This window comes from Homo sapiens, chromosome 10 (assembly GCF_000001405.40).
Source record: "Homo sapiens chromosome 10, GRCh38.p14 Primary Assembly".
Classification (NCBI taxonomy): Eukaryota; Metazoa; Chordata; class Mammalia; order Primates; family Hominidae; genus Homo; species Homo sapiens.
The window spans coordinates 27,789,848-27,812,134 of record NC_000010.11 but is presented as its reverse complement, the minus strand read 5'-3'; positions in this window follow the sequence as shown (position 1 = coordinate 27,812,134).

Below are 22,287 nucleotides of genomic sequence, written 5' to 3'. Positions count from 1 at the left end.
ACAGTTCCCTTTCTGTTAAACCAATCTAACTGTCCTGTCATTATGGCTTTGTCTGTTTGATCACTTGCAACCCACGGGAGAGTTCCAAGGAGATGTGCTGATTTCACAAACTGTTATTAAATAGAATTTAGAGTTAAGCAGCTGGACTTAGAGAGATCATCCCAAGGTCATCCCAAATTTCTCCTAAATACTAGCAAACATCTGAAAGGACAACGTATAACTGTCACTGTACCAGATCATGCAAATCACAAGAACATAAGCAATGAGTTTTTTTGTTTTACACTTTGACTTACAGAGCATAAACAATTGTATGTTTTATTTCTCACAGAGATTTACCAACATTTTCTTGAAAGCAATTAATTGATACTGATGTAAGGATAATATGACTTCACATAAATTGCTTTGAATTTCTGAACTTGTTTTCAGCACACAAAGTACTTTTTAAAAAGTGGCTACAAAACAAATAGCATTTTATCGGGTTATAGAAACATTAGAACCCACTTAGAAGAATCACACATGTAAGCTCGGTGTGCTGAAATGTTTGGGAACTCACTGTCCCAAGTATCGTAACACTCGCCAGAAAAATTGCTTTGTATTCATCAGCGCCATAAACGGACAATCTCAGTTAATGCTTTAAAAAGGCGATCAAGGAGGTTTTATTGAAAAATATTAGACGATGGATATGTGTGTCATCATTTCAAGATCATAAACTTAATTGAATTAAATGTAAATTATTTGTATGAAATGAAAAGCCTGTACAGGATGAAAATCATACGAGGGATACACACTGCGATGAAAAGATAAGTCCCTTCTGAGAATTTTAAGGTTTCGTAAAACACCAATTCATTGTCATGACTTTTCAAAGGAGGTTCTAAAAGAGGATAATGCAAAGAACAAGAACATGGTATTCATGCGAACTAAAAACTGAAATGTAAATAAGAGGAAATCCCTTAACTTTCAACAGCAGAGATTTCTAATGTTAAAGTCACCGTTTAGTTTTGTTTCATTAGGCATTAAAAATACATCTAGAAGCCATGGATTATGACAGCGACAGGAAATGAATAAACACATTGCTGTTGTAGTATTATTAGAGGAAGCTTCTACCATCGTTCTCAGATTTTAAAATGTTCTTGAATCACAGTGGTCCCGGGAGTGAAAAAAAGCAACAGGTAAAACAACACAAAAACAACAAAAAGAACCGTATGAATGCTGGAAAGGATGGGTCGTTTCTTTACCATGTGCTTGCTAGGAGGAAAACCTGGGGCTTCTGTTTTTATGGTTAATAAATGCATAAAAGAAAGGCAACAGTGCCATTTTAAAAGAGACTAAGTACTTGGAAACAGAGAAAATTAACATGAAGATTGTCTTGTATATTTCTAAGTAGGATTTTTTTTTAATTGTTAAACACCAGAAATGTAGTAATTTCAGAGTAAACAAATGAGAAGTTGAAATTAAATGTCCATTTTTGGCTTATTTTTGTGAAATGGCATCACAGAACACTCTGGTCTTGCAAGAAAAATGTCAAAGCCAGTCGAACCCCCAGCTTTCAGAAAACACAGGTATGGATGATCGCACCATTGTTTTGCTACCCTGTGCTGTGTGAGTACTCTTTTTCTTTTTCATTCGTTTTTGTATGAGGGATTTTTTGGTTATATTTATTTTGTGCTATTTATGGCTGACAGTCTTAATTCTTTGTAAGTTTTCAGTGACAAGGTTCTTTTTTAGACTTTATTCTCCCCCAGGACGTCGAGGGAATACAGTATGCTCTCTTAGTAACTGATGGCTGTTACAGTTTGAGAGGGGTTTAAGGTGGAAAGAATTTTAAACAGATATTCTTTGATGTTCCAGTCTCTTTAATTTGTAAGGTTTCCTCCTAGAAATCCTTGCTTTGATCCTTCTGCTTTTTGCAGTCAATGTTCTTTTGCTAATATCAAGATGACTTGTACTGAAAATGACTTGTTTCTTACAAAAACTTTTCTAGCTTCTGAAAGTGAATGCGAGGATAGTTTTCATAGGGCCTGGCATTGAGAATCCTTTTATTTTTGATAGAGTTTGATGTTACCATTATACATCCCTAAAGCATTTGCATGGAACTGAGAGACTATAATTAAAAATATTTAGAAAATTTATTGCTACTCAGGAGAATAAGAATCTCAGTTGTTGATAAACAGATGAGACCCGCAGCTGTAAGTAAATCCATCTTTCTTCCTTTACCTAGTGGGACTGGATTAGCAAAAATAAAGAAACTTCTCCAGTCCAGATAATTTAAAGCATTTCATCTCATTCCATGAAGATTTGGGAATGGAATAGTCTATGTCCATTCCTGTAACTCAGTGAAAACAATAAGGACACCCACTTATTTAAGAGCCTCACTGCTTCACATTCATTAAATAGCCCCCCAAAACCAATGGTCCCCATGAACTTAAGCGTAAACAGTGGAACTCTCTCTCTAAATGAGAATGAAGTAGAAAGGAAACCAACTTTTATAAGATGCTACTCTATGCAAGCATTGTGTTAGGTATTTTGTACTAATGATATCATTTAAAATACAAGAGAACTGATAAAACAGACACTCTCATATCTGACTAGGGCCTACCTAAATGGGCACAATCATTTTGCAAGGTGAATTTGGCAATGCATACCTAAAGTGTTATAATTTTGTATGCCTTTGTGCTATGTCCAAAGATTTATCTACAATGATGCTCACCACACCATTGCTTTATTTCAATTATGGTTCAATCACACAATGAAAACATTATAGAATAATAAAATAGCTAATGACATAAAACACTTTTCAGAATATATCAAGTTGAAAATCAGGTTCTGACATAGTATATACAGTGTGAGCACATTTAAAAAATTATATACATAGCTAAATAGTTACAATGAAAGGAAGAGCTGAGTTATCCACACATATTCCTGAATACTGAAATAAGAATGATTTTTGTTTCCTCTTTTGCTCATCTGTGTGTTTTCTGATCTATTTCACAGTGAACATGAATTTCTGTTTTTTAAGGGAAACCATTATCAATTAATTTTACTTCTTTATCATTTGGAAACTTCTAAGCCAGACATTGTTCCTACTTTCTAGCACTAACTTTAAAAGAGAAGTTCTCAGTTTACAAATGGAGTACACAACATGCTTTTTGGAAATATAAGAAAAGTAGCTTCAACATCTGAAACACCATAAAAATACTTAATCTACAAAATACATATTTGCAATAGCCTTAACCTACAAATAATAATGCTGCCATATAATTGAAACATGCTGAAGTGGCCCATATGTAAATTCTGACTGTTTCCTTATTTGGTTTTTGTCCATTACAAGGAGCTGAATTCTACCCCAGGAGTACAAAAAACACACAAGTGAAATAACAGTTCCAAAGATCATTAATAGATTGCTTCATACAATGTTGTTTTGAGAAGGAAAGAATGATTTGGGCCCATTGACTTGTTTACTCCATCGTAGATGCCTAAGATGAATAATATTGTGATTTACTAAGTCTCTTTATATATTTTGCCTGAATAAATCTAATAGAAGTACACTCTCAACCAAACTGCCAAGCAATAAGTAAATATAGGACAGTTTCCTCGACTTCTGTTCTCCCTTAAAGCATTATGTTTTTCTCCTTTGTGTTATTTCTTTATGCTCTGATTGTTACATTAATTTCCCCTCATTCCAACATTTGTTTCCCTTCTTTTTTTCCCTCCACTCTAATCTCCATGTTTCCAGCTTCTACTTCCATTTTCTCTGACAAATGGTTATTACATTTTCTGGCTCTTAAAATATTTTATGCTTCAATTTCTATAAATGCAAGATGTAAAGTTGATATTTCAATATGTTTCTGATGTATAATTGTCATGGCTGACTTGAAATCATGTAACAGATGGAATCCTTATACTCTCAACCCATTATTTTCAAATTTTCAAGTAAAAGTGACTTATTCTTTATTCGCATCTGTCAAGACAAAAGGAAGCTTTTCTTTTGCCAATTCATGCCACCCTGATTTATTAGTTGATAAAAGACATCTTTTATAAATTACATAATTGCCCCATGATGTTCAGAGTTAAGATTTGTAGTTACAATTTAGAATTATGTCCTAATTTATTTTCATGATTGAAAGATACATTCGTGCATATCAGCATGGTTCTTATAGACTTGAAGAATCTATAGTGGTTGGCTTTCCCATTGAGGAAGACTATACATATATCAAAAAGGAAGTTCAGACAAAGGAGTATGGATAGTGCGGTGCAACTCCTTTCTCGCTATTGGGGAGAAAAAAAAAGTTGTTGTTTGTCATTAGATTAGCTACACGAGCAACTTCAAACCTAAATGTCCGTAAGTACCAGGCAAGTAATCTAAATGAGAGAAAATAGCTAGATTAAAAAAACTGATACAATTGCCAATTGACTTTTAGCCTCCATATCTGGGAGACAAAAGGGATGGGTGGAGACCATGGTGAACTGGAGAATACAGACAATTACTACTCACTACTGGACAACCATTGCCAGATCTTACAGCTGTTCAGTAGAAATACATATTTTTTATAGCCAATCTCCCACGTTTTAAATATGGCAGCTGTATTTGTCTGCTAGAGCTGTCGTAAAGGTAAACCAAAGACCAGGTGGCTTCAACCATAGAAATGTATTTTTTCACAGTTCTGGAGGCTGGAAGTCCAAGATCATGGGCCCAGCAGGTTGGTTTCTGGGGAGGCCTCTTTTGCTGGCTTGCAGACAGTCATCTCTTTGCTGTGTAAGAACCTGGCAAATCAGGCGTTTGAGGAGGTATAGTCATGCATTAAAACGCCAGTAAGGTGTTGTAACTGTGCCACTTATGAGTGCCAAGATGACCTAAAAAAATGACACTCTCTTAAGCTCTACTGTCTGATGTTTAGATTGTGCTAAAAGGCAAATGTCAGTTTTCTGCAACTCCTGTGTGCAATTAAGCCCTTTTAGAGAGAAAAAGAGGCAGAAGGCCTCTGAAAAGTTTGTGCTTGAGCTGTGAGAAAGATTTCTTGGGTGCGATGCTGCCATAAGAATCTGCTCAATTTGCATTGTGGATTTAATTCATACTACAAACAGGCCTGTGAAGATGGCAAGACTGGTTCTTTGACTGCTTGGAAATGCCGCTGTCTGCTTCTGCACCATCTCCCCCTCTCTGTCTATAACCCCTCCCTTCATTTGCAGAGCAACTGTGGCTCCAACTGAACCTCATCTTGCTTTAAATGTTGTGCACACATGGGGAGAATCTCATGGTTAGCACCAGGTTTTGCTTTGGAGGAGATGTGTTGCTTTTTGAAGCTTTGATGGTCATTCCTAATCTTCAACTGCAAGGCGTAAAACATTAAGGGATCACCTTGATTATTTTGTCCTGCTTGAAGCAATAAACAGCTGCTGATACTGATTTAAAACAGAAGACAAGCTAATGCGTTTTAATCTGTGAGGTTGATTTATTTAGATATTCTCTTAAACTGAACTAATTATGAGCTAAAACAACAAACTTGAAGGTGTAAAGGAAAGGAGTGTCTTTGCTTTTCTGCCTATGAGTGTCATGAATGTGCAAGACAGATGTTGGAGACAGATGTGCTCTAGCCAAGATGTGTGTTTGGTCCGCTTGGAGTTCTAATGCAGAATCTGCTCATGGGCCTATAGGAGCCCGACTTTTCTTGCACTGTGGCTATATGAGGTTTCCCTTTCTTTCTTTTTTTTTTTTTTTTTTTCCCACCAAGGCTGGAGTGTAGTGGTGTGATCATGGCTCACTGCAGCCCTGACCTCCCAGGCTCAAGTAATCCTCCCACCTCAGCCTCTTGAGTAGCTGGGATCACAGGTGTGCACCATCACACGCAGGTAAATTTGTTTATTTTTAGTAGAGATGAGGTCTCCCTATGTTGCCCAGGCTGGTCTCGAACTCCTGGGCTCAAGCAATCCTCCCTCCTTGGCCTCTCAGTTTTCCATCTTTTTGGATAATATCGTTAATAATTTCCTCAGAAAGGAGATTATTTTTATTTATATCCTTTCAGCAGAGAACTGAGGCTTCAGAGAAGGAATGAGGAATGCCTTATAAGCACTAGAAAACCTTCAATTTATTCTTAGTTCTTCAGATGTAGTCCTGGCCAATCTATTCAGAGGCGATCAAAGGAAATTGATATGAATGTCTTAGATTTCCCTTTCCTCAATTCAATTCATTCTAATTTCAATCTACCTCCCCGTTCTTACCTCCCACTATTCTCCTTCAAATATATTCTACATGTAGTCTGGTCCAAAAAAAAAAATCACATATGTTGACTCAGATGTGAAAAAATTTACGTAACTTCCTTTAATTTTTACATGTCTTTCCACTGATGGGTGAAAAGCTTGACTTTGCCAATTAGAAGTGTCTAGCCTCTTTTGATTAAAAATAGCTCCTCTTGGTTCACTGCTACATCTTTCAAAGTTGTTCCCCCTTCTCAAGTGTTCTCCCCTTCCTTCCCTTCTGCCCTCCTGGGCGCCTGTGAGCTGAGTTCTGGGAAGAAGTGTAGGAATCTCCAGGAAAGTTACATGCCCCTTGTCGTTCCTTTATCCCTAGCCTGCCTCCTCCTTGTCTTGCTGCGGGTAGCTTTGAGTGTCCCGGTCACAGGGCAGGCTGGCACCTGTGCTGATGCATGGAGTGTCTCATGGATCCTAGTCAAGAAGCCTCCACCTCTGGCACCTCTCTTTAGAACCCCTGGCCCAGTCTGGTGTCTGGATCGTCTCAGCTCTGCTGGGCTCTCCCAGGAGGCTGGGAGCTGCTGGCTGCTTTCCCTGCACCACAAAATCATGCATGGGCTCTTTCAAAGCTGCCCTAAGCTCACCGGCTTAGAAATCTCCCTTAGCCAGGCCAGACATGGTGCCTTGCAGAAACTGGACCTTCCCTGAGGGGCTTAAACCCCTCCAGGCTGACTTTAATAACTTTTATTTCCTTCAAAGTAAGCCAAGCTCTCCAAGCAACCTCCTTCCCTTCTCTTCTTGCACTTCCAAGCTGTCCTCCCCAAACAGGGGAGTTTTACTCTCCTCTGTGTAGCAGGAGCTTTTTTGGAATCGAATTCTCCATTTTTTTCTGATCCCAATCCTCCAATCCTCCTTTCTTTATATAAAACCTGCTCTAAGAGGTCTGAGAAACTGCCGACTCCTGCTTGAAAGCCTAATTTTGGAGATTATTATTTATTTGCAGACTTTATTTTTAAAATCTAGTTCGAAACTCAAAGCTGAGCAAGGACTTTTTTGTCCTGGGTGGCATTTTGTCTCTCTTTCCCTGCAAAAAATTATCTTCAGCATCTTGGCTTAAAGAGAGGGAAGGCTGCAAAGCTTTAAAAACAACCAACTAACCGAACTAACAAACAAAAAAAACCTGACCCTGGAAATACTAAAGAGAAAAAAAAATACATCATATGGTATTTCAAAATATTGCCTATTTCAAACAGCCAAACTAAACTGCTTCTCTTTCATGAATATGCTGGACTCTCCTGGTTCCACATCTTGTCTGCGTTGATCCCGTCACTTCGAATAAGTCCTGGGGTTTAGTTTTAACTTCATACTTGCTTGTCTGTTGCGTGGCTTTTTGCCTTACTTGTTGTGAATAATTTCTCCTTTCATTCCTGATTTATTAAAAGGAAAATTAGCAATGAAAATGGCTTGTTACTGATGTCAGAGCCAAACCAGTGGGCCACACATTTTCTTTGGCATCCACTGAGAAACAGACGAAAAGACAAAACATTACGTATGAAGGTTAGAAGTTCTGGATAACCTGATGTCAGCTCCTTGTCAACGAGCATTCTCTGCGTGGTGGGGGTGATCTTATCCACTCAGATTTCGATAAAATCAGCTTGAACACAGAGAGGGGAAAAACTCAGCATTCTTCCAGTATTTCCAGGAATTATTGAGTGGGACCTATTTTTCCATGTTACCTCCTGATCCTGATCATTGGCCGATCATCTAGATGTTCAGGTCTCTCTAGTCTCACCTCTTGCAAGTATTCCCGTTTCCTTCTTTCTTTCATGCCCTTGTAACCTCAGACATGTAACACAACCCTTTTTCTTTGATTTCTGAAAAATACCACTGGCCTCAGGCAAATAGAAGTAGGAGATGTGGAGTGATGATCCATGGATGAGGGCTGGGACTGAAGAAAGCTTTACTCTTTAAACCCACACCTAGGTTCTGTCTCCCAGCTGTTCTCACAACCGAGAACCTCTCACTGGCATCACTGGCCTTGGGCTCCTTCTTTCTCACCATCTATTTTCCTCTCCATTGACTTCCCCCCATTTCCAGAACTGCTACCCCACCCACAGATGCTATCCTCAGAAATTTAAATACTTCTGTATCTATTCGCTTTTGCTGCTTAACAAACCATTGCCAACAGCCATTTGTTGAGCATGTGATTCCACTGGTCAGCAATTTGGACTGGGCTCAGGTGGGCGCCTGCATGCATCTGCTGTCACCTGTAGGTTGACTTTGCTGTTTCAGCCGGGCTTTCACTTGTCTGGGGCCTCAGCTGGGACAACTGGGATGACTTGAATGCGCTCTACGCAGTCTCTTGTCTTCCAGGAGGCAAACCCAGGCTTATGGAGGTTGCACTCAGTTTCAAGAGAACACCCAAAAGCATGTAAGGATCCTTGAAGCCTAGGGACAATTGGTACATCATTTCTTCTGCTGCATTCCATTGGTCAAAGCAAGTTACAAGGTCTCCCCTTGATAGGGGGCTACAAAGTCATCTTGTGAAGAGATGTGTATATGGGGGAGGGATGGGTGGGGGAAATATATAGGACAAATGCAAGGGCTTGTGTTTCCACTATCAAAATAGTCCTTAAGTTGTTTTTACTTAAAATACATTTCTTTCCTCTTGGAAGAACTTTGCAGCCACCTCTTAAACTTCTAGGGTTTTTCTTCCCAAGATCACAAGAAAATAATATCAGTATGTGAGTGTGTTTTGGGAACAGGGAGAGTTGTAAGAAACGAAAGTAATTGTTTTTGCTCCTGGGTTTTGCTCCTGGGTAATAATTTTTTATCTTCAAAACTTTTATTATAGGGACTTTAAGATAAGCAAATGATATAAATGTATATTTACTCCTGCTTTATTTTAGTATATCCCACCCAAAATTACATGAGGACAAGTATCCTAACACCCCAATGTGGTATGTTTAGACAGGTTTCTAGCTACCCTGAAATTTGCTGAAGAAAATGGGTCAGCCACCAACTGTGAAACTGATTTTTAAGTACACTGGAGATAATTACTTGTTACAAAATACATCATAAGACAAAGATCCTTTCTAACTCCATTTTCAATAATGGCAGAATTAATAGAGAACTAAAAGAGGATTGAACCTTCCGTGAAAGTAATATATAAAGGGGAAAAAAAGGCACAGCGTTCCTTTCCTAAGGAAAAGGAAAGAAACTGATGAGGAAAAAATAATTTGGGGAAAGCAAATTTCAATAAGTTTAGGGCACTGGTAAAATAAATAAATACATATTTTGGAAAACCTAATGGGAAGAAAGCCATCCAGAAGAGATGGATACTCTTTAAACAAACAATGCTGGCAGGTGAACAAACTGTATGGGAAGTGCAGGACAGGGAACAGGGTGCCAAACTGGCAAGACAGAACTGTGCAAAGTTCTGAAAGGCAAATTAGAGAACCGTGAAATGATGTCCAGCCAGATCACCAAAGAAGAACAAAAAGAAGGGACCGGGAGGTGCAGGGACCACATCAAAAGTGAGAAAGACACTGCAGTGTGGGTAGACATAAAAGACATCAGGAAGCTGTTAATCAACTGCATTAATAAAATCCAAGTTATTCCTGACCATGTTACCATTTGGCTAAACAACGAGCCCTGGATTTCACATACAGTATTTCTCTGCTGGCCTGTTGCCTGGCTCCATAATCAGCATCGACTAAAATGTTTTTGATTGCAAATAGCAAAACCTTAACTCAAATGGCTACTTTTTTTTTTTTTTTTTTTTTTGAGACAGAGTCTTGCTCTGTTGCCTAGGCTGGAGTGCAGTGGCACGATCTCGGCTCACTGCAACCTCTGCCTCCCAAGTTTCAAGTGATTCTCCTGCCACAGCCTCCTGAGTAGCTGGGATTATGGGCATGCACCACCACGCCTGGCTAATTTTGGTATTTTTAGTAGAGACAGGGTTTCACCATATTGGCCAGGCTGGTCTAGAACTCCTGACCTCAGGTGATCCACTGGCCTTGGCCTCCCAAAGTGCTGGGATTACAGGCGTGAGCCACCGTGCCCAGCCAAAATGGCTTTTTAAATAATGGGAATTTGTTGATTCATGTAAACAAAAAGTCTAAAGATAGAGTGATCTTTAGGTAAAGTTTGATCGAGGTTTGAATTCTATTTGTCTGAAATTATCTTGGCTTTGCCCTTTTCTGTACCTTGGCTTCATTCTCAGCTGGCTTCCCTCATGGTTGCAAAATGGCGCAGCAACTCCAAATCTCATATCCTCACATCCCACTGTTCAGAGGAGTTTCTTTTCCCCCAACCACAAAGCAAACTGCCTGGGCTTCACATGGATTGAACTGACTCAGGTCATTACCATGTGGATTGGCTGAGTCCTAGATGTGTTCATCCCTGGAGAACCAGGCACTAGTAAGGAGATGGATTTATGCTGACTTGCTTGGGTCATGTGTAGACTGGAACATGGTGGGATCCATGTCATCCAACCCACAGGGCTGATACTTAATGGGGTGCCTGTGCAGGAAGCCAGTAAAATGCCTCAGGTAGTCTGAGCAGAAATGGACTCACTGTTACATTCTCTTCTGGTTTGGGTGACTATATAGGCAAGTAATCAGAAACAAGGTTAACATGTAGCAAACCATGGCAGGTTAGACAACATTCTCAGGGCATGAATGTCAGCCTGGCTGTATCCCACATCTGCCCGAAAGAAAAGCACCAGCTCTGTGTATTAAAAGCATGAATAGCCGCTCTGCAGTCATCTTCTCTCTAACTTACTGTAATCTCTAAATTTGTAGGAATGTGAATACCCTTCTCTCACGTTGGATCTTTGAAAGGTCAAACATTCTTGTGCTTACACCTCACTTCATGATAAAGCTGAAAACATTTCAAAGTAAATTAAATTATTCCATGTGTAATTATCATCTGCATAAATTTAATTTTAATTTCAATGAAATTTAATTGGTTAGAATAAATGTCCAGACACATTTTTATGCTCTTAAATGAACAAAAAAGGTTTTTGCTCTATAAAGGATAATTTCCATTTTTTTCTCTATAATTACTACCATTGATGTCTTTGAAATTTCTAGAAAAACATTTTTATCTCTTAGAAGAAATGACTAGAGTGAACCTCAAAACCTCATCTGCAAAGTAAGTATAATTACACCTACTTCATAGGGTGTCATGAGGATAAAAGAAGTTAACATATAAAAAGTAAGAACAACAGTGTCTGACACATCTAATATATCAATATTATATATGTAATATGCAAGATTATTATATAACAACATCATTATTACCTCATTTTACTAGTTTTCACTCAATGCTCAGGCTAGACCTAGGAGGTTAGTATTTATTACCACATTTTACAGAGGAGACACAAACAGATGATAAATAAGGCATTGGGTTTCCAAGGTATTGAAGTGGTATAACTTTTTCTTCATAAGTTACTAAGATTCACATTAAAAATAACTTCAGACTTGCTAATATCTTTTACGCTTTCCTTGAACTTTCTTCTGGTTACTGAACCGATTCAGTGGAAACTCAGCAAATGCATGCATGAGAGACTATCTCTGCTATTCATTCATGGTCAAAGCTACCCTACTGGGTGTTTATTTTCTAGATACTCCTATCTTCCAGTCTCTTCCTTTTGTTATTTTTAGTTTACAGATTACATAATGTGTAGGCTTAAACATCTATCCTTACAGTTAGATTTAAATATTTGGCACTTAGTAGGTAGTCATTAACATTTATTGAAGGAAGGAAGGAATGAATCACAACGTTGATTTATAAAGAAAAACAAAGGCTTACAGGAAAGATAGAAACTCTAATTCTCATGCCACCACTCAGGCCAATGATATGACTAAAGGAATATAAAAATTAGAGAAAGCCTGAACTAGCTGTGGAAAATAGTAAAAGGTGGCATTTACATACCAGAAACGTAACAAAATTTCTGCTAAATATAACGGGAATGGAAACAGACTAAAGGAAGTCATGAAGGGTCAACTGTAAATACAGTTTTACAAACTGCTTTTATCATCTAGCAGCATGACTTGAAAGTTTTTCCAGGTGAATATCAATATTACCACTTCAATTGCTTATAAACATTTCATTATTTGTATGCATAATAATTTAATTCTTGCCAATATTTAGATTGCATCAATTTTCATTTTTACAAAAATGTCATTGAACATCAAAAATCTTATTTTTAAAGGCAACTGTTGCAGAATGAAGATTATAATTTTCAAAAATCATAAGAAAAAAGCAAATCAAATATGTATAACAAAAGGTTGAAAGCAAAAGAAACTGCAAGGAAGTTGAAAATAGCAAAATACGAGAACGGAAGAGCAAATATATTATTAAATGAATGCAAATGAATGAATGCACCTCTTAAGAGGTCAAAAAAACAACCCTCTGTATTTAGGTCCAAAGCAACTCAATTTTATTCAGTTTAAGCAAGGCTCTAAAAGAAAAGCTACACATAAAAATAAAAAGGCTATGCAAAAATCAATTAGGTAATGGTTGCATGAAAGACTTGAGTTCTTTCCTTCTCTCTCCTCTGACATCCTCTATGTTGGTTTCATTTTTTTGGCTTGTAGTAATACAGCTGCAGCAATTTCGAGTGTCATAGCAGAAATAGCAATATTCAGGAGGAGATAAGAGACCCTGGCTCTTGCTCAGAAAAAGGAAACTTTCCCAGAGGCTACCTAGCTACCAGCACACTTCCTTTTGGCCAGGATTGGACCTCATGCCCAATAAACATTCAACTGGAAAGCATAGTGGAGTCATCCTTTGACCAATCAAATCTTCGCCTGAGACACTTAGCTATTTGGGAAAGAAGTGGCTACCGAAACAAATCTGAGGTTTAGGAAGGAAGGGGAATAAATGGATTCTAGCCAGGCAAGCGGTGATGATCACAACACCAGATCGATATTGACAAAAGGAAAGCTGATGTATACTAAACTGACTTAAGGACATAAAGGCATTAAGTAAGGATCAAGGGCTGCTTTACTTAATGATAGATTCACCAGGAAGACAAATTATTCTGATGCTGTATTCATCTAAAAATATAGCTTCAAAATACATGAAGCAAAAAGCAAGCAGAAATATAAGGTTATATATATATATATATATATATTTTTTTTTTTTTTTTTTTTGAGACAGAGTCTCTTTCTGTCACCCAGACTGTGCTCTGGTGCGATCTTGGCTCACTGCAACTTCTCCCGGGTTCAAGCAATTCTCGTGCCTCATACTCCCAAGTAGTGCACCACCACACCTAGCTAATTTTTGTATTTTTGGTAGAAATGGGGTTTCACCATATTAGCCAGGCTGGTCTTGAACTCCTGACCTCAGGTGATCCGCCCACCTCAGCTTCCCAAAGTGCTGGAATTACAGGCGTGAGCCACCGCACCCAGCTGGCAATATAAATAATTTTATATAATTTTAGGTCATAGTGGAAGATTTTTAACATACTTTTTCCAAGGACATTGAGCAGAAGAAAACTTAATAAGAATTGAGAAATTATGAACGGCAGAATTATTAAGCTTGATGTAATTGATACGTGTGTGTGTATATATATACTGTGTATGTATACAGTGCTACAAACAAAAAATATTAAATACATATTTTCAAGCACATGTTGAATATCTATAAAAGTTGATCACATACTTGACCACAAAGCGCAACTCAGTAAAAAATCACAGCAGTAAAACTACAAATGAAATCAATAGCTAAAGATAGCCATGAAATGAATACATTTAGAAATTTAAAAACCCACTTCTAAATAATTCATGGGTCAAAAAAGAAACCATACTGAAAATTGTAAAACAGAACTGATTGGCAATATAAACCCTACATATTAAAAACGAATGCAGGATTATTTGCAGGGAAAATTCTTTCTGAGACAACTGGGGCTAGTCTTTTTTCTAATAACATATTTCCATCCAAAACTTTGACATTGACAGAAAATTTAAGAAAACATTACACTTCTTCCATGTATTTTGGGAAGACTGCCCTCTGTTCTTTCTTTCCTTGAGTGTTTTCATGAAGTCTCAGTTAGAGTCCATATGCCATTTATTTTCTCCTTATTAAGCATTTTTGTGGCAATTTTATTCAAATAGCCAGAGCAGTAACGGTCAGCCTTTCTACACTACCACTCCACAGGGGAACATTTTCCTTATGCTAGTAAGGTAGCTCTCAGAGGAGTTTCTTATTGCCCTCTCTGGCCACTCCACAGAGGAATCTAAATTGCTCCAAGTATTGCTAACCTGGCCATCTCCTTGTGGACTCTGCCACTAGCTTCACAACTCTGCGTATTAGTAACCTCTTATTGCTAGAACATCCGCTTTTGTGAATTTCAAAATCGAAAGCTATGCAAAATTTCTCTTTTACCATTTACTCTAATGAATTGCATGCTCAACTTGATTCAAAGGAGGGAGGAAGAAATGAACATTTCACTGCCTGCCCTGTGTAGAGAGAGTTTGTAGAGAGCTTTTCATTTGATTTGGCTAATAGGGATGATAGTAAATCCAAATAAGAAAGATGAATAGAATGATTTCTGCTTCCAGGTTTATTATACAAATAATACATTATTATTTTATTTCAAGTTGATTTCTTGTCATGAGTAGTTAAAATGCACAAATATTTTTACAGATCATCTGTTACGGTAAAGAACGATTTTGCACATGGTTGCATTAAGGAAAACCCATTTTAGTTCCTTTCGACTTCATCCTAAGATCACAAATGTTGGCACTCTTAACCGAACAAAGGATAGACTTCCTTAAGCATGTTTCATGATAATAGCTTTCATTTTATTTTGGTTGGCTAGATGTATATTGCCTCTCCAAGACCTCAATTATATAACCTGGGATTTCCACATTGTTTTTGACAGAAAAGTAGAACAAAAATAAGTTATGCAGACAAAATTTGAAACACATGATATGGAATTGAAAGGACTTAGTGATGAAAAAGTTGTCTGACTTCGTGGTAATCAAATCTTGAAATAGATTTCTCCTTAAACAAGCAAACAGTTCAAAGTATTTATCTATGCATCACTGTTTTTTCAAGCTCAAACAGATTATAGTGCTCCATCTCTCAACTATAGTATATTTACAGCCGGACTTGGAAACTGATGCAGTAAACATCAAACTCGTACTGCAGTCTTGAATGATACTCTCCATTGGGCAGCTTTTGCAAGACTCTGGCCTCACAGTCACAGAGGGGAGGCAAGACTGTAGAACTGAGGAAAAAATAACAAGGTTTTGAAAACCATGGACTGTTACAACAGATGTTCTCCTTTTGCCTTTCCAATTGGAGTAAGCTGCTTTAATCTTCCAATGCTATATTAACTTCCAATAATAGACACTCTTATTTAGTATCTATTATTCAGTACCTTATAGATGCTTAACCTATTTTGGGGTTATAGATCCTTATGTGCATTTGATGAAAAGTATGGATCTGTATCCAAAAATACAAAACAAAGCATATAACCCTCAAAATTTTGACTATAATTTCAGTTGACTCATGGATCCATAAATTCACTCCTGGACCCCAGTTGAGAACCCTGACCCTAAGGATTCTGAGCCTGCAAACCCTGGAGAAAAGGTAACTTAAAGAGTATTTTTTCTTTAACTTTTGGAATATAAAATCCTTTTATTGAAACTCCACTGTACACAGGGACCATCCATTGTAAGTACATTTTATTCAAAAAAGGATTTATGAGAATTAGGCCAGCTGCAGTTGCTCATGCCTGTAATCCCAGCACTTTGGGAGGCCAAGGTGGGAGGATCATTTGAGGCCAGGAGTTCGAGATCAGCCTGGGCAACACAGTGAGACTCCATCTCTGTAGTTTAAAGAATGAAAGAAAGAAAGAAAAGGAATAAAGAGGAAGAGAATAAAAAAGGATCTAGGAAGATTTTTAAAGAAAAAAACACGTAATTTTTAGAGGAATTTTGACCTTTGCAATCTTTTTACCAAAAATCTACATGCATCTCAAAAATGGATAGCTAAAGCATTAGATCAGTTTCCATATCCAAATGCTTTTATTTTTTCTTCTTTATTCTACTAGATAAGAAAATTCTAACTCACGTTATAAATCATCAGAGCTGGAAGAAAATGTTTTATGGCTCTGACAAATGGTTCTGGGTATTTGGATTGAAGCTAGGAAGAAATTTCCAATTGAAGACTGCTATACACTCTAAAGCTGAACTCTTGTATGCTTTGAGTTGGGAGGTGGGGTAAATGTTTTCCGTTCTTTGATTGCATTTGACTCCAGAGAGCGTTCTATAATTTCTGTTAACACCATATGCATGTGGTTTTATAATATGCTCAATATGATGTTATTATTATTTTTTCTCTAAAGAAGGAAGAAATTTGAGATTTGGTGTTAAAAAGAGTCATACACACAGTGACAGAGCTGTTTCCACACAGTTTGATTGTCTTAAAAAGTCCTCTCCAATGTTGAAATCAAGGGATTTTTTTGTTTGTTTGTTTTTTGTTTTGTTTTGTTTTGTTTTTGCTCTAATGCATTAGAATCAAGCAAGTAACAAAACCAAATATACTTCCAATACATGCTACTTTAGCAAGTCACTTGGAATCTTGGAGATGTTCTTTGCTGGCACTTTTTTAGCGAAACTGAAATATATGATATAACATTTCTCATTAAATTGAGGCCTTTTCTCTCACTTTAAACATGTGATAGAGCTGATTATTATACATATTGTTCATTTGTTCACTGAGCACACAGAATACAGCTTAGGACCACTGGATATTACCTGATTATATTCCTATTTTCCAGCATGATCGCAAGTTTAATCAAGAGCGGGAAGTATGTTAATGGTTACTATATCAATTAAGCCATAAGTACTGCTGCAGGTCAAACCAGAATACAGAGCCTGGAACAAGAGAGAAGCTTATTTCTCTCCATCTCATAAACTTCCAAGCTGTTCCGTAAAATTGTCAGGTGTCCATGCTCCTTCTCTTTTGGTCTAGTGCCATTCTAGCATGTTGCTTGTCTGCAATATTCCACAACAGCTCACAAGACCCGTGATTATGTGGCAAGGAAGAAAACGGAAAGGGAGGGTTTTACACATCTCCTACCCATTAGGGCACATTCATAGGCCACACTTACCTACAAGAGATGCTGGGAAATGTCGCCTTTATTCTGAGTGGCCATGCGCCCAGCTAAAATAGTCTAATACCATAAAAGAAAGGAAGAATGGCTCTTGAGTGCAATCAGCAGTCTCTGCCAGAGCCAGCAACTATTTCCTGTGAATTAAGTATAATGGGTTTGACTTTCAGTTGTCACCTTTTATTCCCAAGTAGCACCTGTCTTATATACAGTGCTTGTGTTCCATCACAACTGTTTCCAATTCAACTTTTTTTCTGATCTTTATCATGGATCACAATAGTTAACAAAAAAATCCTTTGTCTCTAATAAGGGCAAATTAGTCCATTCTCACACTGTTTATAAAGACATAGCCAAGACTGAGGAATTTATAAAGGAAAGGAGTTTAATTGACTCACAGTTCCATGGGGCTGGGGAGGCCTCAGGAAACTTACAATCATGGTGGAAGGGGAAGGAAACATGTCCTTCTCCACATGGGGGCAGCAAGGAGAAGTGTAGGGAACAGCCCTTTATAAAACCATCAACTCTCATGAGATTTATTCACTATCACTAGAACAGCACAGGAAAAACCTACTCCCGTGATTTAATTACCTCCCACTGAGTCTCTCCCACAACACATGGGGATTATGGGAGCTACAATTCAAGATGAGATTTGGGTGGGGACACAGCCAAACAATATCAAAATGTTATCAGTAACAAACAGAACAAGAAAAAAATCAAAATGATGGAATACTTTCTCCTAATACTTTCACGGTACATATTCCTTGAACAGATTAATAGTAAACATATAATTTAATGCAATTGTAAAGCAGAATATCTGCTAGCATGCATGCATATACAATTAGAGTTTTCTTTAGGTCTAACCAAATGGAAACCTGGCAGTTCTTGTACCAAGGACATCCAAGGTGTGCTCCTGGCTTCCAGCACCAGTTGTCTAAGAGCCCACATTTGGGAACACAATTAAGGCTATGCATCAGAGTTTTTGTTTATTGCAAACAACAGAAATGGACTCTGGCTAGCTCAAAGGGAAAAAGAAGGGAATTTATCACAATGATATGGGGGTTGCTCATACAAAAATAAGCAAAAGGAGCAGGTGTCAGAAGGACAGAAGTCATGGCAAGGTAGCCCTGGGAAAAGACCCTTAGAACAGCCCTGCCATTATGACTCAGCCCTTGGCATGTTCTGTCCTCATCACTGTGCTCTAAGATCTTCAGCCTCCTAGGAGGAGACTCTGAAGGTTGATGTCATGGGCTAAATTGTGCCCTCCCAAATTTGTCCTTTAATGTCCTAATAACCAGAACCTCAGAATGTGACTATATGCAGAGATTGGGTCTTTAAAGGAGTAATTAAGCTAAAATGAGGTCATTTAGGTGGTCACTAATCCTACTGGCATTCTTATGAGAAGAGAAAATTTGGTCACAGACACACACAGCAGGAGAAGGCCAGGTGAACGTGAATTCAAATGGCCATCTGCAAGCCAAGGAGAGCGGCCACAGAAGAAACCAACCTTGCTGACACCTTGATCTCAGACTTCCAGACTCCAGAACTGTGAGAAGACAGATTCCGATTGGCTAAACCACCCAGTCTATTGTACTTTGCTTACCTAGCAAACAAATAAGCTTGGCTTGTCTTTTTGCTTAAGACCACATGCAATGAAGCAGAGGTAATCTACTAAAAGAAAGCAGAAAGGAGAAAATGTGTCCAAAATAAAAAACATGATACATCTCTAGGAATAGTCGAAGCCTCTGCATTTAGAAGAGAGATTAAGTTTATTCCATATTACTCCAAAAAAAGAAAAGTAGTGACATTGGAAGTTCTGAGAAAATACAAAATGGTCTAAATAGAATAAAACGCTGCCCCATAACTAGAATGGAATGAATTACCTTATAATTGTCTTAAAGCAACTACTATCCTTATTACAGCTAGCATTTACTGAGTGCTACTATGTGCCGTGAACTGTGTAGGGTACTTTTCTGCATTATGTTATTTAATATGCCAATGGCCTCATGAATAAGTGAGCATTATTAGACCCATGTAAAAATAATGAAACTAAAATTAGTAAATAGTAAAAGTAATTTCAAAAGCCGCAGTTACTTTTGCACCAACCTATAACAAAAGCCAGATTTTGAACCCAGGACTATTTGAATTTGGAGCTAGAATTCTTATCCTAGTAGCAGTCTTGGTTTCAACTGTTGAATTCTAGAGGTATTGTACTCTTCTTTGTTTCAGCTCTGGTTGGTAGATTCTTAGGGGAAGCAGAGGCTGGGATTTCTAAAGAGCAGTTGTCAAGAGAAGATTTGGAAGGTTAAGAGATTGTCAAACTATGTGCTGCACTGTATTAAGATAATACTGAGAATGATCGCAAGATATTTAGCTTGACTATGTTTCTACCCATGTTGGAAGAAAAGGCCTCGTACCACAGAAGTGACTCAGTGCTATTTTTTTTGGTAACAAGCCTGCTTTTTGAGGTCAGATTGAAATGTTTAGAACTATCTCCTATAGAATGGAATTGTTTGTCTTATAATAGCATCTGCCAGCCCAGACTGTGCATTAGAACACCTGGGAGAGCTGTTAAACAATATATAAGTCTGGGCCTCCTTCCCAGAGGTGGTAATTCAGTTGGTCTGTGATGGGGCGTAGGCATGAATATTTTTAGAAAAATCCCCCAGTGCTTCTAATATGCAACTAGGGATGGGAAGCGCTGCTTAAGAACTATACAATCTAACTGCACTTCAAACTAATAATGAAACCCGTTTTTCTATAAGAAACCTACCTGATTTGTTTTTCAGCTAGAAAAGCATCAGACTCTCCCTCTGGTTTTTATCCTTCCAGGTATGATAGTATCAATAAGTCCACCTTGTCAAACAACATGGGCGTGAAACATTTTCCCATTCAGTATCAATGGTGCAACAGATTCCTGGTATCATCGCAAAGCTTGATGAAACGATGGCTATGTCTTTTTGTTCTAGCTGCTGTATGTTCATATTCTGTTTAATTAAAAAAATTATGTACATGAAGGGAAGTTGTCTAGAAATGGGACTTTAGTTAATGTATCCTTATCTATTGCCATAATAATGCTGTGTAACAAACCACAAACTCTCACCGGCAGTGTTTATTGCTCATGTGTCTGGAGTATGTTGAGGATTGGCTTGGTGGCTCTGCTAATCTTGGCTGGACTAGTTTGCTCCATTGGGAGTCAGCTAGCCATTGTCTGATCCATGTAATGACTGGCGGGACTAGGCATGACTGGGGACTTGGCTCTGCCTACGTTTCTCACATCCTCCAGCAGGCAAGCCCAGAGATGTTCTCATGTGATGGCAGAGGTGCCAGAGAGCAAGTCACATGCATAAGCCCTTTTCAAGACTTTGCTTATGACAGGTCAGCGAGAATCCCCTTAGCCAAAGCAAATCACCTGGCTGAGCCCAGTGTTAGTGGATGGGCAGTCACTCCACCCACTTGCAGTGGGAGGGCAAAAGGTGTGAACACTGGGACGGGGAAAGAACTGGAGCCATCATTTAAATTCAAGAACTGTTGGGAAAACACTATAATATCAAACCCTGAAATAGAGTAGAAGGACTAAAGAAAGATGATAATATGGTGAAATAAAAAGCTGGAAAAACAAAATTTTTAAACGGAAATGCGAGACCAATGGTGTGGCATTGTCAACTTTCAATTGGCTAGATGCCAGAGAATATGAGGGAAGGAACTGGCCTCCGACTTTTTACTATTGCTCTTCTACCTAAAAGGTAACTGTTAAAGTCTATGGAGTGTGGACAAATTATAAGCTATTCAAAGAAATGGGAATAAAAACATGTGAGTATATTTCAAACCAAGTCATTTTGTATCATAATACATCAATGTCACTGAGATTTTTAGGGGATAAATATGTGTTTGAGTCAACTACTTAGAAATACATTAATTAAGTACAGTTAGCTATATCTTTAAATCTCTTAATGATTTGAAAACAACTTTAAGATACTATTCTATCAATTTCATATTATTTGTTTACCTGACTTTGCATAATAAAATAGATATTTGGGCCAACATTATTAAAATAAGAACCCTGGCATCTTCCTGGTAAATCTGTACCACCGTTTCCTTGGTCTTCTCAATTTCAGCTAGGTGTTCCTTGAAGTCAATTTTATTTATAGGCAAATCCAAATAAAAGTGATTCTTATGCCTTTTCTTATCCCCGAATTTGACCCAGCTCTTGATCTGAGTAACAAGATGTAGTTTTTTAACTTTGCAAAAATACTTTGAACCAGCTGCAGGATATTTAGTGAAATGACTGCCTTATTCTGAGGTTTGGGAATACAGAAGATGGGTTTCTGTGTAAATATTAAAATTATTTTTTCTTTGGATCAGATTAATTACAGAAGTGAAAGATTTATTACTAACCACTTCTGCATATAAGACACAGAAAAATAGAAATCTGTAGTAGAAGTCTAAAATTTGGAGTAGCTGAGATAATAAGAACTTACAAAGTGCATTTTTTTAATGTTTAGCTCTCATTTTTTTCCACATTAAAGAGTACTTTTCCATAAATGTGTTTATATATATATGCACATATATACACACATATGTGTGTGTATATATATATGTGGTATTGGAACATCAGTATATTTTTTAGACAAGAACATTTTTGTACTTCAAGGAAACTTAGAGGTTACCTTATTTAGCCCTCAATTTATAGAACTGAAAAAGAATCCTCAAATAAGTTGAAATGATTTTCCCAAAATCATGCAGCAATTCAACCACCCACCATCATGATAATATCTAGTACTTACGTAGTTTACAAAGCATTTTTATATCCATAATGTCCATTAATTTTAACAACTATGTTCAAGTATGTAGTACAGTCTTCACTATCTATTTTTTAGATAAGTAAACCAAGGTATACAGATATTGAGTAACGTATCCACAGGCACTAAGCTGTAAGACACATAACAGTGTCTTCTACCTCTACCATG